This window comes from Homo sapiens, chromosome 12 (genome assembly GCF_000001405.40).
Source record: "Homo sapiens chromosome 12, GRCh38.p14 Primary Assembly".
NCBI lineage: Eukaryota > Metazoa > Chordata > Mammalia > Primates > Hominidae > Homo > Homo sapiens.
The window spans coordinates 106,750,289-106,776,417 of NC_000012.12; the positions used below are offsets into that span (position 1 = coordinate 106,750,289).

At 44.4% G+C, this 26,129-nt stretch overlaps 2 protein-coding genes and 1 long non-coding RNA gene across 28 annotated transcripts in view, besides 4 other annotated features; 2 read left to right on the top strand and 1 right to left on the bottom strand.

The window, feature by feature from the left end:
• The window catches only part of RFX4 (regulatory factor X4), a 179,800-nt gene extending 167,285 nt beyond the window's left edge, over positions 1-12,515 (top strand). For all 3 annotated transcript variants that reach the window (NM_213594.3, NM_001206691.2, NM_032491.6), the window contains 2 exons: positions 367-505; positions 10,909-12,515. In NM_213594.3, the coding sequence (NP_998759.1) occupies positions 367-505; positions 10,909-11,181 (412 nt within the window). In that variant the 3' untranslated portion in view covers positions 11,182-12,515. The remainder of the gene's footprint in view (positions 1-366; positions 506-10,908) is intronic.
• Positions 1-24,543, bottom strand: part of LOC100287944 (uncharacterized) — a 278,422-nt gene extending 253,879 nt beyond the window's left edge. The window contains exon 1 of the long non-coding RNA NR_040246.1: positions 24,402-24,543. This is a non-coding gene — a long non-coding RNA (uncharacterized LOC100287944). The remainder of the gene's footprint in view (positions 1-24,401) is intronic.
• Positions 3,674-3,723: an enhancer, noted in NCBI's record as "active region_6948". NCBI's record gives its function as "activates an Ori minimal core promoter by ATAC-STARR-seq in GM12878 lymphoblastoid cells {active_cell/tissue: GM12878}" and the evidence as "EXISTENCE:reporter gene assay evidence [ECO:0000049][PMID:35858748]".
• Positions 23,543-24,094: an enhancer, noted in NCBI's record as "H3K27ac hESC enhancer chr12:107167609-107168160 (GRCh37/hg19 assembly coordinates)". NCBI's record gives its function as "activates a minimal SCP1, AML or CMV promoter by ChIP-STARR-seq in primed H9 embryonic stem cells {active_cell/tissue: H9 hESC(primed)}" and the evidence as "EXISTENCE:reporter gene assay evidence [ECO:0000049][PMID:30033119]".
• Positions 24,305-24,534: a silencer, noted in NCBI's record as "silent region_4818". NCBI's record gives its function as "represses an Ori minimal core promoter by ATAC-STARR-seq in GM12878 lymphoblastoid cells {active_cell/tissue: GM12878}" and the evidence as "EXISTENCE:reporter gene assay evidence [ECO:0000049][PMID:35858748]".
• RIC8B (RIC8 guanine nucleotide exchange factor B) overlaps positions 24,394-26,129 on the top strand; it is a 114,635-nt gene continuing 112,899 nt past the window's right edge. For 22 of the 24 annotated variants that reach the window (NR_147135.2, NR_147133.2, NR_147137.2 and 19 more), the window contains exon 1: positions 24,394-24,541. Coding sequence is in view for 7 of the 24 variants with exons in the window: in NM_001330147.2 (NP_001317076.1) it covers positions 24,458-24,541 (84 nt within the window). In the remaining 17 variants the exon portion in view is untranslated. Of the gene's footprint in view, positions 24,542-25,035; positions 25,138-26,129 lie in introns of all 24 variants that reach the window. The other 2 variants (NM_001351361.2, NM_001351362.2) reach the window with 1 other exon arrangement.
• Positions 24,865-24,914: an enhancer, noted in NCBI's record as "active region_6949". NCBI's record gives its function as "activates an Ori minimal core promoter by ATAC-STARR-seq in GM12878 lymphoblastoid cells {active_cell/tissue: GM12878}" and the evidence as "EXISTENCE:reporter gene assay evidence [ECO:0000049][PMID:35858748]".

Sequence of the window (26,129 nt, forward strand, 5' to 3'; positions counted from 1 at the left end):
CAACATGGTGAAACCCCATCTCTATTAAAAATATAAAAATTAGCCGGGCATGGTGGCACATGCCTGTAATCTCAGCTACTCAGGAGGCTGAGGCAGGAGAATCATTTGAACCCAGGAGGCGGAGGTTGCAGTGAGCCAAGATCATGCCACTGCACTCCAGCCTGGGCAACAGAATGAGACCCTGACTCAAAAAAAAAAAAAAAACAGATGAAAGAAAGAAAAATGGGATTGGGGGTGAAGGGGGGAAGAAAAGAAAAGAGAAAAAAGAAGAAAAAGGAAAAAAAATAGATGAGGTTTTTAAAAAGGTGTCAAACTGATCTGTTCTTGCTATTACTCACACTATTCAATGTGCTTGATGCATTTTAGATACACGGGAAGCTATAACTATGGGAGCTATGGCAACCAGCATCCTCACCCCATGCAGAGCCAGTATCCGGCCCTCCCTCATGACACAGCTATCTCTGGGCCACTCCACTATGCCCCTTACCACAGGAGCTCTGCACAGGTGAGTCAGTGGTCCTGGTTTCTTGGCCAGGCCTTGGTATACTTGGTGCCAAATCTGGTTAACACAGTTCATAAACTGTTATGCATACTGTGTGTGCAGCGTGTGTGTCCCCAAGGAGAGGACAGTCTTTATTTATTTATTTATTTATTTTTATTATTATACTTTAAGTTTTAGGGTACATGTGCACATTGTGCAGGTTAGTTACATACGTATACATGTGCCATGCTGGTGTGCTGCACCCACTAACTCCTCATCTAGCATTAGGTATATCTCCCAATGCTATCCCTCCCCCCTCCCCCTACCCCACAACAGTCCCCAGAGTGTGATGTTCCCCTTCCTGTGTCCATGTGATCTCATTGTTCAATTCCCACCTATGAGTGAGAACATGCAGTGTTTGGTTTTTTGTTCTTGCGATAATTTACTGAGAATGATGATTTCCAATTTCATCCATGTCCCTACAAAGGACATGAACTCATCATTTTTTATGGCTGCATAGTATTCCATGGTGTATATGTGCCACATTTTCTTAATCCAGTCTATCATTGTTGGACATTTGGGTTGGTTCCAAGTCTTTGCTATTGTGAATAATGCCGCAATAAACATACGTGTGCATGTGTCTTTATAGCAGCATGATTTATAGTCCTTTGGGTGTATACCCAGTAATGGGATGGCTGGGTCAAATGGTATCTCTAGTTCTAGATCCCTGAGGAATCGCCACACTGACTTCCACAATGGTTGAACTAGTTTACAGTCCCACCAACAGTGTAAAAGTGTTCCTATTTCTCCACATCCTCTCCAGCACCTGTTGTTTCCTGACTTTTTAATGATTGCCATTCTAACTGGTGTGAGATGGTATCTCATTGTGGTTTTGATTTGCATTTCTCTGATGGCCAGTGATGGTGAGCATTTTTTCATGTGTTTTTTGGCTGCACAAATGTCTTCTTTTGAGAAGTGTCTGTTCATGTCCTTAGCCCACTTTTTGATGGGGTTGTTCGTTTTTTTCTTGTAAATTTGTTTGAGTTCATTGTAGATTCTGGATATTAGCCCTTTGTCAGATGAGAAGGTTGCGAAAATTTTCTCCCATTTTGTAGGTTGCCTGTTCACTCTGATGGTAGTTTCTTTTGCTGTGCAGAAGCTCTTTAGTTTAATTAGATCCCATTTGTCAATTTTGTCTTTTGTTGCCATTGCTTTTGGTGTTTTAGACATGAAGTCCTTGCCCATGCCTATGTCCTGAATGGTAATGCCTAGGTTTTCTTCTAGGGTTTTTATGGTTTTAGGTCTAACGTTTAAGTCTTTAATCCATCTTGAATTGATTTTTGTATAAGGCGTAAGGAAGGGATCCAGTTTCAGCTTTCTACATATGGCTAGCCAGTTTTCCCAGCACCATTTATTAAATAGGGAATCCTTTCCCCATTGCTTGTTTTTCTCAGGTTTGTCAAAGATCAGATAGTTGTAGATATGCGGCGTTATTTCTGAGGGCTCTGTTCTGTTCCATTGATCTATATCTCTGTTTTGGTACCAGTACCATGCTGTTTTGGTTACTGTAGGACAGTCTTTTCATCAGTGTCATTTCTGGCCTCCAATGGCTGGCCCACAGTGGGTGCTCGGCCAGTGTTCATGCTCCATTTGCTCTCACACACCTGGTCGCTAAACAGTTTTTTTTTTCATTCTATCCCCTCTTTGACCTCTTCATGCCAAGATCTAATTGGCTGCATGTCTGCTGCCCTTTTTCGGGCAGCTACCCTCACCCTGGGCCTTGGGTCTCCTTTCCCATCACCACTCTCCTGGTGCAGACCCTCATGGAGTCTTGTCAGGACTGGTCTCTCAACATCATTTTAACTGGCCTTGGGGTGTCCCGTGTCTGCTCTTTTCATCCAGCCCGCACAGGTAATCTTAAGCCGAAGAATCCTCCTGAAATGGATCCCTTTTCAAATCACTCTCAGGCCCTACATCTCCTTGGGCTCCTCACTGTCTAATAAGCCAAATCAGCCCTCTGTGGCCTGTGGGGAATAGACAGGCCATTGCACTTGGCTGCATTTGGGAAACCACCGCTGGACACTCTACCTGTCTAACACTTCCCTGTGCCTTGGCTCTGATCCGACTGGTGGCCAGTTCCACTCTGCATCCTAAGTATCTCTGTATGCCCTCTGTGCTCGTCTCAGCTCAGGCCTTTATCATATCCAGCTTAGATGAAGACAGAAGCCTTCCTGGTGGTCTCTATGCCTCTAAAATGTGCCCCATCTCTGGTCCACCCCCTACACTGCTGCTAGAGGAGGCTTTCGGAAAAAAACCCAACTGACCGTGACACTTTCCCTGTCTTTGGCACATCATTGCTTTCCAGGACAAGTTCAATTCTTTAGTATGTCTCTTAAGACTGGTTACCTTTCTGGCCTACTCACAAACTCCCTCCCTCCCCGCAGCCATGCCAGCCCACATGTGGTTGTCTTGGATGTGCCGAGTTCCTCCATGTCTTTGCAGAAATTGTTCCCTCTGGCTGGGTGTCTCTTCCCCAGTCTCTTCGGCTGGGCATTCATGATGGGCATTCATGGCAATCATATTGCCGTCTTTGTGGCATTCCTGAAAGTACCACCTTGAGTCCTCCAGGACCTTATTAGGTGCCACTCCCTGGGTTTCCTCTCTCAGTAGCATTTCTCACACCCTGTTATCATCACCAACTTTCCTGTCTGACGCGCACGGAGACCCTAAGCTCCCTGAAGGCAAAGATGAAGTCCAGTATCCTCAGGTCACAGCACTTGGCACCTATCAGAAAGAGGAGCTACCTTCTCCTGAACACGTGTTGTATGCCAGGCTCTGCGCTGAGCACTCTCCACATCCCTTAGATAACCCCTGCAGAAGAGGAAGTGAGACTCACAGTAACCTGCCTGAGGGGTTGAACCCAGGCGCTGTGACTCCTGTCCAAGCTCTCAGGCACCACCCCCTGCCGCCTCTCAGATGCAGGCATTCACTAAGTGTACACTGAGCAGATGAGTACATGGGAGGTGGCGTCAGCATGAACAATAGTATGGTGTGCTGAGCACGCTCACTCTATTCTGCAGGCACAGGAAGCTACGGAGTGGTAAGATCAGAGCTATGATTAAGAAAGAGAGCTCTCAGGGCCCCCACAAAATGAACCAAGGGGGACTGGTGGAGGCAGGGGGCTCTGCTCCAAAGCACTTGCAGAAGTTTAGGAATGAGATGGCAGGACTGACGCTAGCATGGAGGCTGTAATTACATCAGCTGTTAGCACAAAGACTTGTCTCTGAGGGAGGACACCAAGGAGAACGTATCCACAACACATGGGCATTCTGGGCAAACAGGTGTTTGTTTTGATTTCCATCTGCAGTACCAAGGGGAGCCCTGGTTTAATCCCCAGACAAGCCAAGAAGTTGATTCCAATAAATCATCACCTGGGGCATTCATTATAGGTCTCCAACTGCGTCACACAGAGATGCCAGCTCCTTAGGAGCTCCGTCTCTTGGGAGCACTCTGTGCTCCTCACTGTGATCCACTGCATGACTGAGAACGGCTGCAACAGCCTAGATCACTCCGCACACTCCAAGCATCTCATTCATTCATTAATTTATTTCTCAAATGGCTCCTGGGTAACTATGTGCAAGCACTGCACTAGCCACTGGGAGTACAGTGAGAAGGAGACAGAGCATGCCTGCTTTGGTAGAGCTTATGCTCCAGTGGGAGACAGCATCATCAAGCCATAGTTCTGGGCATTGTCTTCCCTCCTTCTTCACTTCCTCATTCCCCCTCATGAAATGGCAGGAGCTGGTTTTCTGGGGTGATATTTTTAAAGCCATTGCCATAAAAAGAAGCCAAGGTCTCCTCAAGGCCTATGAGGTCCTGCTCTGGAAGCCACAACAGTCCCCAACTGGAACACTGCCATTTAATATCTGGTCTTAATAGAATGGCCCAAGGACAAGTGAAAGCCCATGGAAGGGCCCTTTTAATCCAGACAAGGTGTGAGAGTCCAAAGGGTCCTAGGCCAGGCTCTTCGCCACCATGCCTTGTGACTCTTAGACGAGTGCCTCTGACACTCCCCTCAATATACACACACTCCACACTTCATGGTTTATGCCTTAGTCTCCATCTGTAAAATGGGGTGGGAAGAAATTAATTATATCAGTCTCTACCCAGGTTGATGAGTGAGGTCAGTGTTCAAAATATACTCTCTGGGGGAAGGTACTGTCTAAAGACAAAGTATCCTTTGTTTTGTTTTTCATTAACATTTATTCAGAGCACTGTTCTAGGCATATTTAAATATACAGACTCACTTAATTGCCCTAACAACCCTGGGAAGAAAGCATTTTTGGAGACAGGATCTCACTCTGTCACCCAGGCTGGAGTGCAGCTGCGCAATCTTGGCTCACTGCAACCTCTACCTCCTGGGCTCAAGTGATCCTCCCACCTCAGCCTCCCAAGTACCTGGGACTATAGGCACATGCCACCAAGCCCAGCTGATTTTTGTGTTTTTGTAGAGACAAAGTCTCGCCATGTTGACCAGACATGTCTCGAACTCCTGGGCTCCAGTGATCCTCCTGCCTTGGCCTCCCAAAGTGCTAGGGTTACAGGCGTGAACCACCACACCTAGACTTTTCCCTCAGTTTTTAAAGATAAGTAGACTGCCTCAGAAGGTAATGTGCCCCAGGTCATGCATCCAGTAAGGGACAAAGCAGACTCAAATGCAAATCCTCCAGCTCTCAAACCCAATGCTAAACCAGTGGTACTTAATACTACTGTTTCGGAGAGTGGAAGGTGAATTCAAGAGGTTACTGCTGCTATTCTCAGTAAGTTTCAAGTTGCCAAAGAGAAGCACACACCCCAAGATAACCTTATTTCTTACGTTTATTGGTTCTTTGGTTTAAGGTTCAGCATAGAGAAAATCCACTGCAGGGCTAATTAGTTTTAGCTTTCCAGAGCAGGGGTCAAGCTGTTCCAATTCTGAGTAACTGAATATCACACTTCACTACATCAGACTCACCAGGGAAAAGGACAGTCTGAATTGGAAGACAAATTCCAAGTATACAATATGGTTGGAGAAATGCAATTGGTCATCAGCACAAAAGTAACTGAAACTACTGCAAATAAATGCCAGCTAGATTTGCCTTAGAGGGCTGATACATCTATGAAGTGCAGTAATTGTAGGTTTCCCAGCATTTATATGCTCAAAATAATTTTAAGTCATTTGTTTTCAAAATAGAATATGTGTATGCCCTTGTTTACACTACTTATTTGCACAATATATACTTTCTTCCTGGGTACTACAAAGGTAAACCTCCCAGCCCTGCTTAGATTCTTGTAACTTTTGACTTAGTGAGTCCAGATGAATGAGGTTTCACAGCGTGAGGTTTGAATTATTTTGGAAAAACATTGCAACTGTGCTGCACTTGTTCACATCAAAGTAAGCTGCCTCTTTCCAGGTTCCCCATTCCCAGGCCCAACCAAAAGGAGAAAATAAACCAGACCAAGTACATAGCTACAAAATCTTTCTGAGCCTCATTCAATACATGTTCATAGAACCTCTACCCTGTCAAGCAGCCATAGTGGAACTGGGGACCTTGAGCTCAAAAGCCATTTGATCACACTTAGACTGGAAAGCTGTCCCTTATTTCTCATCTGAAAGGCAGAGGCCCAGCCTTATCAGCTAATCACCCCCTCTCACAGAATCTTCAGCAGCCTGGCTCAAACCAACCCAGGACCATTGGGTGCTACAAAGTTTGCTTAGGGCACTGTACTTTGGGTTGGTGTCTTGGGCCAAAAAGAAAAAAAAAAAATTAATCAATGATAGTGTTGTAAGATCTCTGACTGTAGAGCCAGGCTCCCTGGGTTCAAATCCCAGCTTTGCCTCCAATTAGCCCTGTGCCTCAATTTTCTCATCTGAAAAATGAGGATAATTATGGTATCTATTTTACAGGGTTGCAGTGAGGGTCAAGTGAGTTAATAAAGGTCGGAACAGGGCCTGGCTCATAGTTAACACATTTTATTATTATCCTTTGTAACACCATAGTTATAATATTATATTTAGGGTAATTTTATAATTAAGATCTGTCTCCCTCACTGTACTAGCTCTGTGAAAGCCAGGACCAAGTCCTTTTTCTCTCCCCATTATATTCCCATGGCCTAGCACCGAACTTGGCCCTCAGTGAGTGCTCAGTAAATACTTGTCAATGAAATGAATGAATGACTGGATTCTTACTCTGGTACTAAGTTGCTGTGTGACTGCAGTAGATCATTTCCCTTCTCTTGACCTTAATTATTTCATCTGTAAACCCAGAGGTAGAACCAGATGGTCAGTCACTAAGGCTCTTCCTATCATTAATGGACCATGACCCTGTGATTCTAAAAAGAACATTAATAACAGCTAACACTTTTTGAAAACTTACTACATAGGAGTTCTAAGTGTTTCACATGTAATAACTTAACTAATCCTGACTCTAAAGGCTCAGCAGCAGAGGGATGGTGGCTCACACTTGTAATCCCAACACTTGGGGAGGCTGGAAGCCCAGGAGTTCCAGTGGGATGACCGTTTGAGCCCAGAAGTTTGAGATCAGCCTGGGCAATGTAGTGAGACCTCACCTCTACAAAAAATTTAAAAATTATCTGGGAGTGGTGGCACATACCTGTAGTCCCAGCTACTTGAGAGGCTCAGGTGGGAGGATCACTTAAGCCTGGGAGGCACAGGTTGGAGTGAGCTGAAATCACCCCACTGCACTCCAGCCTGGGTGACAGGGCAAGACCCTGTCTCAAAAAAAAAAAAAAAAAAAGCTCAGCAGATGTGGACTGTCTGACAAAGATTTTTTGGGAGCTACATCCTTCTCCAGAAGAAGCTAAGAGGCTAGGGGTGAGCCCTCTGGCAGTACTTTGGTGCAGTGAGAGCCGCCTTTCATAGGAAAACAGTTTGTGCTCCTGACTGGGCCACCTTTCACCCCTTGTTCAAGTAGCAGCTCATTTGGTAAGGGGTCAGGAATAAAGGGCTCTTTCTTCCCTCTCCATGTGTAGGAAAGTCAGCCCTTGGTGTGGAGAGTCATTTCTCAAAATAGATCTTCCTAATATGGTTCCAAAGAGAGCAAGAGTCAGTCACAGCTGAGATGGGCTTTTGCCATAGGCATCTGATGAACGTTGGACTGTGTGTGCAGGCACACACATGTGCACACAGGCACCTCTCATACACTCCTTTCAAGGGATGGTAAACTGGTGACTTATGTCCTTTTTAAAATCAGTAGCAACAGCATATGATTTGATCCAAAGAATGGTAACTTGCTGTTATGGGCCCTCAACAAAAGGTGCCTTATTCCAGACAGAGATCTCTGGACCCTGGAATTTGTGCCCAGCATGCTTAAGGACCCTGTATGAAACCGGATGTAAAGTGTGAGAGGTGAGGCGGGTGCCACGGGCCAGCCTCTGCCACTCCCACCAGACTAAATAGAAGCTTCATTGGTCATGTTAATGACCAGGCCAAGGCAGTGAGCACTTCAGCTAACTGGTCTTTCAATGGTCTCTTCACTACAGGGAAAACGAGTCACTGACTCATTTGCAATTAGCTGACCTAACGGGACAGAATTTTCCATGCTGGATTCTGTGGTAACAGAATTTTATTGTCACATTAGAGATATTTTCAGCCAGTCTTGTTTCCAGGCAATTACTCTTTTCAGTCTATGACACAACTTCTGAGCACAGCTGTGTCGAGGGTCCTTGACTAGGCAAAAAAGCCACACTCTCTCGGGTTCTGTGGAAAAGAGCCCAAGTCCATTCTGTGACATTTTACCTACATGAGCCAAGGCAAGGGGGACTCTGTCAGAACCAGCAAGCTGAGGCCAGGTGAGAATTCTAAGGCCCCAGAGCTCTGTCGGGGAAGAGGCAGCTTAGTGAAGGAAGAGGAGCAGAGGGATTAAAGTCTAATGGGCTGGCCTCCAAAAAGGGAGTGCTCTCCTGCTCCTGGGTAACTTGGCAGTGGCAGGTCAGCCTCCTTTGGGACGGTCATATCAATGTGAGGAAAGCGTGCTCCCCAACTGGGTTTCTATGCCAGCTCTTCCACTAGCTTGCTGTGTGACTTTGGGCAGGACACTTGATCTCATGGGGCCTGGCTTTCTCATCTGTACAACATGGGGTTGGATCACAGGATCCCTAAAATTCTTTCTAGTAGTAACGTCCCAATGTTCATTTGCCAACTATTATTTAGCACCTGCTAGGTGCTAGGCACCATGCCAGATGTTGGGAACATGGTGTTGAACACAGCAAAGCCCCATCAGGAGCATATGAATATAAGCCAAAAGAAAGACCTAGCTAGCTGCCAGGCAGGATGGTAAGGCCCCGGCCCGAGAGGCACAGGCTGGGGTGTTTAGGTTCTTGAGATAAGATTCCAGAAAAGTCTCTCCGAGGAGGTGACATTTAAGCTGAGATCTAAAGAATGACAAAAGGGCAGGCATGGCAGGAGCCAGGGGTAGGGGTGGTAGAGAAGGTTCTAGGTACAAGGAACACAGGTAGGACAGAGTTCCCTGAGATGGGAACCAGCTTGACATGCCATGGGACCAGAAGGGAGGCCTCTGTGCCAGGGAGAGCACCAGGAGGTGAGGTGATACCCAGGAGTTGACTTGAGAGAAGACCAGGTGGGGCAAGCAACCTTTTTGAAAAAGTAAGGATTGTTTTGTAGTAATAGTTCCTAATGTTATCTGTTTAATACACCTGGGATCTTGTTTTTTGGGACAGGGCCCAATCTTACTATGGTCTCACTGGGATTTAGAGAGGTTCCTGTGCTAGAATCCCACTGTGCAGGCCTGAGGGTCCACCACTGCTGCCACACAAACAGCATCCTGTAGGTTCCCATGACGCAGAGCACAGGGGTATGCGCCAGTGTTTCTGATCTGATTTGGGATTAGGAAAGCCTTGGCGTGCTGTCCATAGTCTCCTTGGCAACAGCCCTTGGTGCCTTCTCCCTTGAGTTCCCAGACACCACCTACGCCCTTCTCCCTCTTTCCTAACTGTTCTTTTGGTTCTGAAGTGGCTGTACTTTTGCTATGTAAGGCATGCCATCCTATGTAGGGGGAAAAATCCCTCCCTACTCAAATTGGGATCCCTCTTTCTTGACCTCTGAATTGCTGGTTCTCTTTGCATGCTTCCGGCCTAAGCGCCTTCCCCAGCTCCCCTTAGGCTCTCACTCACAGAGGAAGAGCAGTTCCCTGTAGCCACCTAGACTCCAGGGAGCAGCCATTGTTGTCATAACCCCTTCTCCCTGCTGTCTAGGCTTCAGCCTGTCTGTCTCCCTCACAGGAGGCAGCCTCCCACCTAATCCCCTGGGCCTCCACTTTCCAACTGTCAGGGAAGACAGATGGGGAGCAGAAGAATTCATACATTCACACAGTCTCTCTCCTCCTCGCTGCTCTGGCCATCCTTGTTGATTGGCTCCTGTCCTTGTTGGTGTAGCCCTCAGCACAGCAAAGAAATCTTTGTGCTGACTGGCCTGCAGACTGGGAGCTTTCAAAGGAAGCCCATAGCTCCTCCCCTTCCTCCCCTCTGATCCTACTAACGGGCTTATTTGCATAGCTGTCTTGGTAACAGAAAAGAATGTAAAAGAAGAAGCACTTCAGAAGCACTTCTCTTACTCCTAATCCTTTCTAGAACTACTTCCCCTCTTCTTGTAGCTACTAACACCTGTTCCTCTGACCTGCACAAAAGCTCCCCTCCCCGCCCCTCTCAACTGGTTTCTCTTGACTCCTTCCTCCACATTCACACCAAGCCCAATTCCTATTCATGTATCTTCCAGGAGTTCAGTGAATGTGAGCCAAAAAGAAAAATGTTCTCTAAATGATAGGCACTAATAATAACCTTCGAAATTGTTGACTTGCTTCCTCTTCAAAAGCCTGCTTTTAGGCTGAAGTTTATAATTGAATTCAACTGTAAAATGTTATTTTTAATAACATCATTGTATTTTACTTGGCAGTGTTATGCTCTTGGGTTGACAGACTAGGACCTATCACATCTCCATAACTAATGATAAAACTCACTACCATCCATCTGTACATCCATATTTATTTATCTGGACATGCAGTTACTAGTGTATGTGTGTGTGTGACAAACACACACTTTCCTGTATTCCTGGTGTGGCTGTTTCTCATTTTGGGTTTGACTTCCCAAGATATTGTAGATTAGGAACAGAAAGCCAGTATAACCGCATGAGTAAACACCAGCCCAACTCAGGCTATGAAATCTTTTGCATTTCTCCTGTTGACTTCCCTAAGACCAATATTCAGTCTTGTAGAAGTTCAGTGATTCTTCTCCATCAACTCTCATTAATAGCATCTTAAGAAATTTAACTTAAACTATAAACATGACTGATATTGTGTATATGCAACCTCAAGCTAATTTTAACTTTGTGGAATTTCTTTCCCCTCAACAAGTACCCTTTTAATAGCCCCACTTCCCGGATGGAACCTTGTTTGATGAGCAGTACTCCCAGACTGCATCCTACCCCAGTCACTCCCCGCTGGCCAGAGGTGCCCTCAGCCAACACGTGCTACACAAGCCCGTCTGTGCATTCTGCGAGGTACGGAAACTCTAGTGACATGTATACACCTCTGACAACGCGCAGGAATTCTGAATATGAGCACATGCAACACTTTCCTGGCTTTGCTTACATCAACGGAGAGGCCTCTACAGGATGGGCTAAATGACTGCTATCATAGGCATCCATATTTAATATTAATAATAATAATTAATAATAATAATAAACCCAACACCCATCCCCCAGAAGACTTTATCTCTATACATTGTAACTCATGGGCTATTCCTAAGTGCCCATTTTCCTAATGAACATGAGGATGGGATCAATGTGGGATGAATAAACTTTAGTTCAGAAACAGGACTTACTAAAAGTCAGTGGGACTGGGTTTCTGTAGCCAAGCCAGACTTGACTGTTTCTGTAGAGCACTATCTCGGGCAGGCCATTCTGTGCCTTTTCCCTCTGTTCCATGACTTTGCTTTGTGTTGGCAACCACTTCTAGTAAGCTACTGATTTTCCTGTTGACAAAATCTCTTTAGTCTTGAAGGATGGATACTGGAGACAGAATCTGGTTTGTGTTCTTGGATGGGCACATAATTTACCAAGAGCATTCACCTTGCCATCTGTCTTGTCATTGTACTGTACAAGGAACAGCCCTCAGACGTGTTCTGCACATCCCTTCTTCCTGGTGGTACCATCCCTATTTCCTGGAGCACCAGGGCTAAATGGGGAGCTATCTGGAAACTCTAGATTTTCTGTCATACCCACATCTGTCACAGTACCTGCATTGTCTTGGAATGTAAGCACTGTCTTGAGGGAAGGAAGAGGTCTGTTCTGTATTGCCTTAAGTTGATTGAGGTTTGTAGGAGACTGGTTCTTCTACATACAAGGATTTGTCTTAAGTTTGCACAATGGCTAGTGTCAGCAAAAGGCAGGAGAGGGTTTTTGTTTTTTTTTTAAGTTCTATGAGAATGTGGATTTATGGCATTGAGTATCACACTCAGCTCTGCTGTGTTAACTTTGTGAAACTGGATGGAACAAACTTTAACTTACCAAGCACCAAGTGTGAAAGTGACTTTCACGGTTCCTTCATAAAACTATAATAATATCCGACACTTTGATAGAAAAAAATTCAAAGCTGTGCCTTTGAGCCTATACTATACTGTGTATGTGTGGAAATAAAAATGTATTGTACTTTTGGAGAATTTTTTGTAGGCATTTTTCTGTCAGATTTGTAGTAATTTGTGAGGTTTGTTAGAGATTAATATAGGTTTTCTTTCTGTATTATAAAATGCACCAAGCAATTATGGTGGACCTATTACCCTATGGGTAAGAAATAAATGGAAATATGACATCGGATGTTTCAGCAACTGTTCTGTAAATAAAATCTTTGATCACACCACTCAGTGTGATAATTGTGTCTACAGCTAAAATGGAAATAGTTTTATCTGTACAGTTGTGCAAGATATGAATGGTTTCACACTCAAATAAAAAATATTGAAACGACCTGCTTTCTTTTGACTTTTCATTTGACATGACCTGTGTGTGTGTGTGTGTGTGGGGGGGGGGGGGCGGTGTGTGTGTGTGTATAAACATTCTGAATACTTAGGGTGTAAGTAGGCAGGGCAAAAAACTAAGTAGTCTTATATGGCTGTGTTTATCCAGTTCCCCATCATCTTGTCATATAATAATAATTAAAATGTGTATAAGCCACACATCCTGGCCTTGAATAATGATTAAGTAAAAATAGTACCTACAGCCTGATAGAGGTTTGTAGGGGACCAGTTCTTCTACACACAGAGATGTGTCCTAAGTTTGCACAGTGGTTAGTGTCACTCAAAGGCAGGTACCTTTCAGCTCTTATAGGGAATATTATTCTTCAATACCAACACCATTAAGAGGTCCCTTGGTACTTAGTTCATTATGCTTTAATGATCACTAGGTGTAAAGATATTTCAAGTGCAGTGCTTTAAATGCTAATAAACTTCTGGAACAGAACAGTAACATTACTGAATACTTAATAAGTATTAACAAATTCTTCTCCAGCACTGTATTTTTATTCTGAGGCTGAAAGGAGTGGGGTATAGAAGTACAATGATGGTGTTTTTCTCAAACATTAAGAGTCTAGGATCTATGAGAATTTCAGAACCACAGATTTCCAGAAATGGGAGTAGTGAGTATATTAACTAAAAGGCATGAGAACTTGACAACTCAATTTGCATTTTGAAAGATTTATATTTAAAGCCAGGTTCTTACTTGCTATTACATAATATATTTATACCTGAACATGATTTTTAAGATTAAAATTATATACAGAGCATCCCCTTATATTTAGCTATATTGTTCTACAAAAAGAAAGCAGATGTTGAATTTCACTTTCTGATGGTCAATTAGTTTGATCTTTTGACCACAATCCATTAGTTGGCTTTCATATAAAGAAAGTAAGGAAAAGGAAGAATGAAATTTCAGATTTAGTCACTGCAAAAAATAAACCTGAGAGTGACCAGACCAGTCTGTCTCTTACAATTCAAAGCTAGAGCTCCCTTAAATAAATGAAAGGGTGTAGGAAGTCTGACTTTTGACTTACTAAGCACAAAAAAGTAATCACCAAATTCTTTAGTCAGGTAACAACAGCATAGGACACCCATTTACACGTAACAGCCACAAGTTCATTAACTGAACAAATCTTTAGGCAAAACTAGTCATAATCAACAAGGGCCTGAAGCCCAGAGAATAGGTCACTCCAGGAACTTTGCAAGGAAGAAAATGTGTGCCTCCCTTTCTTAGCACAACCAAGACCTAGGCATCATTAGCACCCTGGAAAAGAAGGCAGCTTCAGATGAAGGCAAAAGACCACTGGGCCTTCTCTCCAGAGCACAAGGTGCCTACCTCTTGGGAACCGAGCAGTACCTATGTTCCCAATTGTTTTAAAACTTTCAACTTCAGAACTGGGAAAGATCTGAATAGGAAAAGGCAACAGCTGCTGTGAGCACATGACTCAAATGCACCTTCTTTCCCTCTGATAGCTCCCAGCCAGTCACCAGAATGGGAAATTTGGGCAAGGTTGGCAGCTGGGAGTGGGGCCAGTCACTTGTCAGGGGAAGAACAGAAGAATCTTGGCAATAAAGGGACCCTCCCCTCTTAGGGCTTTTTCTGAAAAGAACTCTGCCAGCTTGAAACTGGTTGAAGTCATGAAGAGCAGCCAGGATGGCTCACCCACATTGCAGGCCTGTGGTGTCCTCAGATTCCATCCTGCTGTGTCCTTTGTCAGGCCTCTAGTACACCCCAGCTCTGGGTAGAAAGAGAATTTGTGGCCCCTCTGAGACTGAAACCCAGGCACAGACCAACCCAAAATGTTTGCCATCGAGTAAGCCCAACCTAAATGGCAGTGGGGGGGCCAGGGGGAGTTGTGGAAACTGCCATGTGACCTTGAATGGTTCACCTCCCCACTCTGGACCTCAAGCAGTTGTGTTACATGATTATGACATTCCAACTTACAGTCTGCACTGATGGACCAGGGCTGGCAGATCTGGATGAGGAGGATGGACGGGCCGCTTAGGGAAAACAAAAAACGGAGTAGACTGGCAGCTGGGCAGTGATTCAGGCAGGGAGCCACAGGAGAGAAGGCACTGGCTCCACCAGCTGGTGCTATAACACAGAGTGAGGCTCATGAGTCCAACCCCCATCCTCCCTTACACAACTCTGGATAGTAGTGTTTGGCAATTTTCCTCTCTCTTCAAAACTGGCCTTAATATTTGCTTTAAAGTAAAGTCAAAATGTCTGAAGTGAATCTAGAGAAGGAAAGACAGCAAAAACAGTTATTTTGTCCCAACCTCTTGCACTGTTTAAAGGCAGACTTGCAAGATTAGAAAAAATTAAGGCTGGGCATGGTGGCTCACGCCTGTAATCCTAGCATTCTGGGAGGCTGAGGTGGGTAGATCACTTGAGCTTGAGCTCAGGAGTTTGAGACCAGCCTGGGCGACCAGGTGCCTCTACAAAAAATGCAACAATTAGCTAGGTGTGGTGGTGCATGCCTGTAGTCCCAGCTACTTGGGAGGCTGAGGTGGGAGGATGCAGTGAGCTAAGATTGCGCCACTACACTCCAGCTGGGGTGACAGTGATACCCTGTCTCAAAAAAAAAAAAAAAAAAAAAAAAAAAAACCAAAAAAGAAAAAAAAAGAATATAAATTAAATCCTAGGAAGAGGGATAGCATAAATACCCCCATTATTACAGTGGAAGAGACTTGGGGAAGGGTTGCCATAGGTCTTCTGAAGCCTAGGGGAAAGCTCTCTGAAGTCTAGTGAGAGCAGAGGCATAGAATTCAGACTCGGGCAAGAGCCTTAAGTATGCAAATCATCATCAATATAAGCTTTTAAAAAATTGGCCCATTTGCGACTTTGAAGTGAGGGAGAACTGAGGTCAAATTCTGGTTTCACCAAAGTTGTTGTAGAGGGGGCATTCCTGCTCTAAAGTAGGATTGGATGTCAGTGGCTCTCAACCCTGGCGCCATTAGAGTTCCCTGGTCAACTTTTTAAAAATACTGAGTATAAGCCAGGTGCAGTGGCTCACACCTGTAATCCCAGCACTTTGGGAGGCCGAGGTAGGAGGATCACTTGAGGCCAGGAGTTTGAGACCACCCTGGGCAATATAGTGAGACCCTATCCCTACAAAAAATTTAAAAATTAGCCAGTTGTGGTGACATGCACCTGCGGTCCTAGCTACTCAGGAGGCTAAAGTGGGAGGAACACTTGAGACCGGGTATTTGGGCTTACAGTGAGCTATGAATGGGCCACTGCACTTCAGGCTGGGTGACAGAGACCTGTCTCAATAAATTAGTAAAGATAAAAATACTGATGCATAGGTCCCACCCACAATAAATAATGACTTGGAATGTGACCCAGGCATCAGTATTTTTCTAAGCTCCCCAGGTGATTCAATATGCAGTCAAGGTTAAGAAACGTGATCCCTTCCACCCTCAAGTTCTAAACTTCAGGGACTACTATTCCCTGAACATGTGGCCCAGGTTTCTCTCTTGCAGTGTTGTCTGTCCAGAGTGGAGAACCATGCTCTGTGCAAGTAGTGACACTCCACAGTAACCTACACTGTGCATAGTTTTCCCTTAGCTGACAAACCTTTCCCTAAACTGCGCTGTTCTGTTCGCCCTTCAGCCACCCCCACCTCCCTACCACTTTGCTGCCTGCCCTTCTAACCTGGAACTTCTCTGCTTCAGTTCCTTGGCAGCCTCCCAAGCTAAGCCAGCTTGGACACAGTGCTTGGGGCTTCCTCTTGTTCCAAGGAGGTCAGAACCTTTTGTGCTTCACCAGCCTCCTCCCTGAAGCTCTTCCCCCAATCCCCCTCCTGTGTCTCAACCTCCCCCAACCCCGCCGCCGCCCTCTCACCCCCATATTTTGCTGCTGCTGGTGTAGGTGGGACGGAAGACGTGGGCCACAAGAGATGAAGAAAGAGCTGTTGCTAGGAAAGGAGTGTGGGTGAAGAGAATTGGTGGGCGGGAGAAATAGGACTCCCCAGTTATATGCCTCCCTTTCTCATCATAAATGCCTCAAGAGCTAAAAACCAGCTGTTTAAAATCTATTATGAAAAATAATGAGGTCTGACCGTGACAGCAGGGGTAAGAGAATCAGACTCAGAAAGAGCTGAAGTGCTGATATTTGGTATTTATAAGTCTCCTCCTAGAAAAGAAAAGCCTCTGAGTGAAGTTTAAAAGAGTGAATTCTTAAGGAACTATCAAACTGTGCCCGTGAGGGACGGTATCTAGAAGGTCTTGGCATATGCTACACCTCTCAGAAACAATAAACTGCAAGATGTCTTAAGAACCAAAATATAGTTGAGGCAGAAGGATGATCTTTAAATGAGAAGTCTGCAACACTCTTTCCTCCTCACCTCACACTCAGGGGCATATTTCTGAAATAGATCTGCCTTAATCCACGGAGTCTCCCATTTATTGGAGTCTTCTCTGTATCAGGCACATTAGACTCACCATGTCTGCTTCTCACAAGTTCCCTGCAATACCAGTGGCATAATCGCTTCTGTTTACAGGTGAAGAAATGGAGACTATGAGCAGCTTAATGCCTTGCTGATGGTTACAGTTTAAGTGGCAGAGCTGGGATCTGAAAATTACTCCAGGCACAGTGGCTCAGACCTACAATCACAGCACTTTGGGAGGCCAAGGTGGAAAGATCACTTGAGGCCAGGAGTTTAAGACCATGGCAACATAGTGAGACTCTGTCTCTCTCTATATATTAATTTTTAAAACACAATAAAAGAAATACTACTCCAGAGCCTGTCTGTGCTTTTTCTACTAAAGCACACTCTTCCTCCTTCCTACTTTTCTTCCCACCTTCCCACCCCTATCCTAACTTCCATTCCCCTCTCCTAAGCAGTTTTGCAGTTTTAAAAATCAACCTTGACTGTGGTAATAGAACCTACTGGGGTGGAAGAGAGTTTCAGAAGTTCTGGAAAATTTTTGTGCTCACGAACTGCAGGCAGTTTCTAAGCTGGGCACCAGATCTTCCCCTAAACCAGAGGTGGCATTCTGCTCACTGTAAATAAATAGCAGACTACCTTTCCCTCTGTCATTTCCCAACGTACAAACAAACCAGTGCATTATCTATGACTGAGATTTGGTTATTCTATAGAGAAACAGGAATAAAAGAAAATCAATAATAACGAAAAAAAAATACCAGGTCACAGAGGATTTTTATTACCAGGTCGAAAAAAAAAGCTCTGCAGGGGGGCGTGCAATGAGCCAAGCATTCACTGGAATGAAGTCACTGGGGTGGGGGAGGAGGGAGCACGGAGGAGACTGGCTACCTCTTGCTGTTAAGGTCACTACCCTTTGACAGAGGTGGCCTCTGACCTCAACAGCCCTACAATTCTGTTTTGACTGACCCTGAAACCCATGAAATTCAGATGTAGGCACTGCCCAAAAGTTGAGATAAAGCTGACTAATATGGGAAAAGCTCCCGGTATGTGCCCCCAGCTGAAAGGAGCTGGCAGTTCTTTGGCGGTAGACGCAATTTATTCTGTCCTCCTCCTTTCAGGGAAATGCTAATCCTTCATAGGCAACTCAAGGGGAAGACTAAAATGTGTTGATGATGAATGACAATAATCCTTTGTCCACCGCCACCTCCTCCTAGGGTTGAACCTTAAGAGTTTAATCAAATGTTGGTAAGTAAATTAATGCCTTACTGCAAAAGGAGGTGGTGGGAAGAAAGGTTGTGAGAATATATTTCCTCTGACATGTGAATCTCAATAAACTTAATTGCAAAGGCATTGATATGGGAAGGGGGTGCTGAAAGAGTGTTTTAGATTCCTATTTACACACACATACACATAACAGTCACTACCCGAAAACTGTCTTACAGCATGTCAGTGTTAAAATGTTAACTTTGAAGTCTAAAGACCAAAGCAGCACAATGGAATCACTTTGCTGTTGTTAAAAACAACAGCAGCAACAACAAAACTCATGCATTTGTGCATCCATAGGAACAGCAAGATGTTTAGCCCTGAATCTTCACATCTTTCTAAGGAAGGTTGCATTTTTCATTCCAGTTCAGCTAACATTTTAGTGGCTACTCCATGCCAGGTCCGCCTTGCTGGCCACTTTGACAGCCATCTCTTTTAACCCTTCCAACTGACTGCAAAGTAGGTATAATTATGCTCATTACAGTTGAGAAAAATCGGTGCTCAAAGACGGCAAGTGATTTATCCCTGTACACCCAGAGTTAAAATTCAAACTAGAGTCTTTCAGCTTCGGGTTTTCCTGTTAGATACAAAAAATTGGTTGCCAGAAGGGTTTCAAGGAATTTGACAAATGATCAGCTTCTGAGACTCACACAGTGAGTCAGGGCTAAAAACCAGGTTTTCCGATTCTCAGTCCGGGTTCTTTCACCACATTACAACATTGCCACCCAAAGCGCTGGGTTTTCCCAAGAGGTGTTTGGATGGGATTCCAAGTCAGCGAGATGCAAATAGGTCTGACCCACATTCCTGCTCTTGGGTAAATAAAAACTCCTAAAGGGCAGAGCCCATTTTGTGTGCTTAATCTAAGAGTCCCACTGTGGGTAGTCAATCAATATTAAACAACTAGAGGGACATCTGCCTAGGACTAACGGCATGGACTCAATTTAAGCAATCAGAATACAGTGAATATTACTGAGGAACCTCATAAAGGTGCTGAAAGGCTGAATCAAGTAAATTTTTAAGAGTTGGAAAAAAAACCTTTGAAGTCATCTAGTCCGACTCTAATTTTATGAGATAGAGATAAAATAATGTGCATAAAGATCTGAAGACAGTCAGCAACAGACTCTCCCTTCCTGTCTCCCAATTCTATTTAATTTTATGTCCTACAGCATTGTAAGGTAACGTTTTCAGGAATGCAACATGTTGTAAGTCGAAGTTGGACTGGCTGGTTACAGAGTCGTCATTGATTATGAAACATCTCTCATACTTAACTTTTCCTTTCCCACTGACCAAACTGACCTCTAAGAAATCGCCATTGCTGGCTTTCAAGTTCAACCAAGTTGGTGTCATTTCTCAACAAGAGTCTCATTAATTTTGGCCTCCTGACCTTTTCTTACAGCATTTCCCCGTTTTGGAGCCCTCTATGCTCTCTCCACCATCCCTCTTTACAGATCACCTCCTTCAAGAAGGCTACTCTGACTACTATCCTTCCCATTAATGTTTATCTTGCTTTGATTTACACAGTACTATGTTCAATTTGTTTTTTCCTATCAGTAAAAAAGATTACTTTATTGTTTGGTTGTTTCTTATATCCCCAAAGGATATAAGAAAAATTTAAAAAATTTTTATGGTATCTAAGACAATGCTGTGCTCCAGTGAGCACTACATATGTGTTAAAAGATCAAACTATGTTAAGTAACTTTGCTATCAAAGGGAGACTGCATTCTTTTTTTTTCTTTTCCGAGACAGAGTCTCGTTCTGTCACCTTGGCTGAAGAGCAATGGCACAATCTTGGCTCACTGCGACTTCTGCCTTCCAGGTTCAAGAGATTCTCCTGCCTCAGCCTCCCAAGTAGCTGGGGTTACAGGCATGCACCACCACGCCCAGCTAATTTTTGTATTTTTAGTAGAGATGGGGATTCACCATGTTGGCCAGGCTGGTCTCAAACTCCTGACTTCAAGAGATCGGCCTGCCTTGGCCTCCTGAAGTGCTCGGATTACAGGCATGAGCCACCGCACCCGGCTGAGACTGCATTCTTGGTAAAAAATGAAATAAAAATAACTTCCTTTCTGTTTTTTTTTTGAGACGGAGTTTCGCTCTTGTTGCCCAGGCTGGAGTGCAATGATACGATCTCGGCTCACTGCAACCTCCGCCTCCCAGGTTCAAGCTATTCTCCTGCCTCAGCCTCCCAAGTAGCTGGGATATAGGCATGCACCACCAAACTCAGCTAATTTTGTATTTTTTTTAGTAGAGATGGGGTTTCTCCATGTTGGTCAGGCTGGTCTTGAACTTCTGACCTCAGGTGATCCACCCGCCTTGGCCTTCTAAAGTGCTGGGATTACAGGCATGAGCCACCGTGCCCGGCCAAAAAAATAACTTTCATATTGTCAGGTTATTTCTCAAAGACTAATGAGTTACATGCACATGAGTTTGGGGGTCTATCAAAAAACCAGTTCAGTGGTAGATACTCTATCAAAATATTGATCCAGTGGTTCTCAATACTAGCTGCTTATTCAAATCAACTGAGAAGCTTTTAAAACTACCAGTATCCAGATTTCACCACAGATCAACTGAATCAGAATCTTTGGAGGTATGCCCAAGGAATGATTTGCATATATCATATTGATATTTGATTTGCACATATTGATTTTCACATCCCCACTCTTCATAATAGGTTTTTCTAAAGAATTAGCATATTTAAAGGTGGTTTTGTTTTTCCGAGAATCACAAAATTTTAGAACTGAAAAATTTAGAACTGAAATAATATCTGGATCAATCCCTTAGTTTAACAGCTAAGGACACTGTGGGACAATCCAGCTATTATTTCAGTTCTAAATTTCTAAACCTCAAGAAAGGCTGAGTGAGTGGCCTCACATAGTGAGGTGGTGGTTGCTGAGTGACAAGTCATATCTTGAATTAGTGGAATTCTCTGAACTCCAGTTCTGGAGCTGTAGCCAATAGACCAAACTGCCAAGGCTTTAAATTCTGCTTTCTTCTAAAGAAAATGTATTCAAAATATTATAACAGTTGAATTTTAAAAGCTGTTAGCACCAGGTACTCATTAAAGACCTTCAGTTTGGCACATTCCAACTAGCCCATTGTCATGGCAAGAGGAAATGCCACAGCAGGATATATCAAAGTCCAAAATAAATGACTAGTATCTATTTGCAGGCTTTTTCATTGGCCCTAACCTGAAAGTCCATAATATTTTATGTTATCAGAGCCCAGGGTGCTTCTAGCCCTTAACTATACCACTTATTAGCAAACTTCCTTGCTTATGAGCCAGCTAATCAATACTCTGAACTTCCCTTTTCTCTGTAAAAAAGAAAATAGTGCCTCTTATTGATCTTGCAATTTCAGCTATAGTAAGGATTAAATCAAATAATCTATGTGGAGATATTTTAAGAATTTAAAATCTCTATCCATAGATATATATAGGATTACTATATTACTGTTTGTAAGAGCAACGACTTGTGAAAAAATATTTGTTGCTTTGATTACCAAGGCTCTAAATATTAATTCCTTGCTATCATGCCACTCAAGCATCACCAGGAAGTGAAGTCAGAACAGGACTAGAGTCTCTAGTCCCTGAAAGTATCCCGTAACTAATATTCAAGGAGGTAAAGTGATGTAGTGACCTAGGACTCAGCTAGTCTAGGCTCCATTCCCAGAGTCTGCTATTGACCTTGGACAAGCCACTTAATTTTTCTGGAACCAGAGTCTCGTCAGTGGTCAAAAGATGACTTGAATTAGAGTCAAAGATCCCTTTGAGTTACAAAATCAGAATATGAACATTTAATTAAAATTACTAAAGTACAACTTCCCAAGTCATTAATTCATCTCGTTTTACATTTTTTAAATCTCTTTTTAGAAGTACAGAGTTGGAGACTAAAAACATAGCCTATTTCTGGCAAACAGACATTTCAAAGACATGTGTCTGAAATGTCAGAGACCTTCTAAAAGAATTCTAAAGAGAAACATCTCTACGGAAATAAGATACTTTGTGCTCGTTTAATATCGTCTCTGGGAGACCCTTGCTCCAAAAATAAATATATGGATACCCCCAAAGCACTTAATTCTGTACTGGACACAGAGCAGGCACCCAAATACTTTGTTAACAGCTCTCAGTTTTTGTCCCAGTTCTTGTTACTTAACTCATCTGACCCTGTTTTCTTATCTATAAAGTGGGAACAATACCTTCCCCAATGATCCATTGAGATTAGAAGTATTAAAAAGTTCTGTAAACTGTTAAAAACAATTGCAAGATGTTACTATTAGCTTAGAAAATTAGCTAACTATTCCATGACCTTACTAAAATGTGCTTTTTGGAGAGATGGATTAAAATCTTTCTGACTTAATTTATTACAGAGCACCTACCCCAATGCCTGACTCAAATATGCTCAATAAATGTTTGCTGCATGGAAAGTATAATATACAGAAAGACCAAAAGCTCCATAAACTCAGGTCCCATGTTCGTTCTTATTTCCGAATTCCCAGTATCTAGCAGAATATCTACCACAGCATAGAAGAAATTCAATCATTAGATAAATAAACTTTTGCCCCCTCTAGTTCCTCTTCAGCACAGCTCAAGAGGGAGAGACTGGTAGGGGAGACATCAAGGATGATTATGGGTAAAGGCTGCTTGGAATGGAAAACTTGAAATTACTTGGAGAATTCATCCACTTTCCATCAAAAAAAAGCTTGGGAGAGCAGAAAGAGCACAGGCTCTGAGTTCAAATTCAGTTTCCAAAAATCTGCAATTTTGATAAATTAACCAACTAACCTCTCCAAGACTCAGTTTCCTCATCTTAAAATGAGAATAACTCATATGGGTGCTCACTAGAATGGAAGCTCCATGAAGGCAGGGACTTTACTTTGGGCCCACTGTATCCACACTGCATTTAACAGCACCTGGGCACAGCACAGGCTCTCAAATATTTGTTGAATGAATGTGTATGAAATTGATTGAGCTAACACAGGTGAAGTATTAACAGAGTGCCTGACACGTAATTACCACCGGGGCAATGGGAATCTTTGTCATCACCACCACCGCTACTGTATCGGTATTATTACAGTTCCCGGAGGTCGTAGAGCGGCCGCTTCGGGGGGAAAGGCCTGGTTTCAAACCTCGACTTTCCCATTCTCTGGCCGTGTGACTTAGGATAAATTACTGAAACTATTCGGGTTCCTTTTTATTTCCACAAAAATTTGTGTTGGGAGAATTAGAGGATATAGGGAAATTACCTAAGAGAGTCTGGAGCCCCGGTGGCACGAGATGCATGCTAGAGATTAGTATTAAGGCAGAAAATCGCCGAGTCCTCTTTTATCCAGATAACTGCCTTCAATTATTTCCCACATTACTGTAGCTGAGTACATAACAAGAACGCAAATAAGGGTGGAAGGAATTCCCGAGACCGAAACCGCTAAATGAGAAAAGGGAATTAAACCGTGCTTGACAGTTCCCACCAAGGGATGGCAGTTTCCGCGACCGTCGGCCAGTCCAGCCAGCCCAGCCAGCCGAGACTGAAGCAGGACAGTCAGCGACATAACGAACAAAACCGAAGCAGACGCTTAGACCCTCCCTCTAACGGTCTCCCCGCCGCTGGCCTCAGGCGGCCGCCAGACTCCCGTTTCCGGCCCTCGCGGTACCACAGTTCCCAGCATGCCCTTGGCGGGAATTCTTTCCGGCTGGATGACTACCAATCCCAGCATGCCATTCGGCACGCCAGTAAATTAGATGGAAGAGCGGGATAGCCCCATTGCATGCAGGGAATTGCAGTCCATTTAGCGGCTGGTTCATAGATGGGCGGGGAAGAGCCGGGTTGCTCTAGTCCTTTGAGAATGATTCATAGAGGAGGGTCAGGAAAGAAGAACGGTTCAGTCTGTGAAAGCCCCCTTAAAAGACTGGACAGTTCTCCGAGGGAGGGAGAGGCAGGAGAGCAAGCAGGGCCTTGGGCCTGACTCCGCCTCGGTCCGCTAGCCAGGCCTCGACCGAGTCCTGGGCCTTGTCAGGGGCGGCCGTGAGGCGCCGGTTGCTGGGGGAGCGGTGACGTCGCGGGGTGAAAGTTGAGGGGCGGTGACGTCGGGCCGGCCCGGGCGGAGGCTGGCGGGTTGGAGGCAGGACGGAGGGAGGGAAAGAGGGAAGGAAGGAAGCTGGGAAGGAGCGAGCGGGGGCGCGAGGCGTTTACCTGGAGGCAGCGGCTTGGGCGCGCAGAGCGGCCGCGGCTCCCCCGCACCTGCGGCCATGGATGAGGAGCGCGCCCTCTACATCGTCCGGGCCGGCGAAGCAGGGGCTATCGAGCGGGTCCTGAGGGATTACAGCGACAAGGTAAAGAGTCCTGGCCCCGGGCGTGCGGTATCGCACCCCCGGGCCGCCCTCCGTGCTTGCACATCGCATCCTTCCCCACCCCCCTCATTCCGGGGATGCGCATTGCTCTCCCCCGAAAACGTTTCCGGCTTGGGCATGCGTGTTTGTGCCCCCAGCCTTTTCCATCCATGCATCCTGCATCCCACTACCCCCACTGTAGCGCCCACTCCTCTGATTCCTGGCCCAGCAGCTTGACCTCCGGTCCTCCTCTCAAGCGTGCAAGTCACACCCCCGGAATCCGTAGATGTGCATCTGTGCCCCGTGCCCCACTCCTGGATGCATAAATGCATGAGAGGCTTCCTCACCTGTATAGCATAAAAATACGTGCTTCCCTGCATAAACACGGCCCTTGACATGCATCAAATGTATCAGCAACGATGGCAGTTTCTATACGTTTAGCACTGTACGGTTTTCAAGGCATTGATGTCTCATCTATGGTCTCCTTTGATCCTCAGAGTGTTTATAGGGTAGATGGTATCATCCTCCCCATTTTATAGATGAGGAAACCGAGGTGCAAAGAGCTGAAATCACGCCCAAGGTCATGGACATATAATGTTGTAAGTGGGTGGAGAATGTAACTCCTAATGATACCTGTTATTTGTATCGCATTAACAGCTTTCCTATCCATTATCTTATTTAATCTTACAGCAATCCTGTGAGGTATTATCTGCATTTTGCAATTGAGACTCTAGATTGGTTAAGTAACTTGCCCAAGGTCATACTTGGAGCTGGTATTCCAGTTTAGTTCTTTCCACTTCACAACTCTGCGTAAAAGAGTATCTTGTTATAAATCCCAGTCACTTCTCAGAACCTCTTTCCAAGAACCGTTAGCTCTTCATTACTTTTCCTTCCAGGAATTTTACATGCTCACTTCAAAAGATAGCCTACCACACCTTTATCCTTTGGTTTAGAAGACTGCTTTATAGGAATGACTGGCGACTCCCTTCTGTGAAAACACACCCAACACCAAGTCACAACCTAGCTGTTAATGTTTTTCTTTCTTTTGCCCCCGTACATCGTCTCCCCTTCAGTGTTTGCTTTGTGTCCACCACTGCATCCATCCACTTTGTATTACTGACAATTGGTGTCTTATTTTTGAATCTTTTCCACCCGGGGCAGAAATGGCATACTGGTGGCTGAATTCCCGTTTAATCTTCCCAACAACCCTGGGAGGAGAGTGATGGTATTCCCCAATTCACAAATGATAAAATTTAGAATGATAATGTGGTCCCAAGTCCACACAGCCACTGAGAGATAGAGCTGAGATTTGAATTTACGTTGTCCAACTCCAAGTCCAGCGAGCGCTCTTTCTGCCGTACTGTGTTGCTTTCCTTGGGAAGATTCATAGGTTCTATCTATTCATATCTTAGCTCCTTCACTTTCTGATACACTTTATTGTTGAACATGTCTGCCTAATTTAGGAATAACTCATTCAATGCATAGTTGTACATATTGTGGAGATTATGATTTAACCCGATTTATTACTGCTTTCCAGAAAAGATATAAGGCAGCTTCAAACTGATTTTCAGAAGCAAGAAATGCAAAGAGA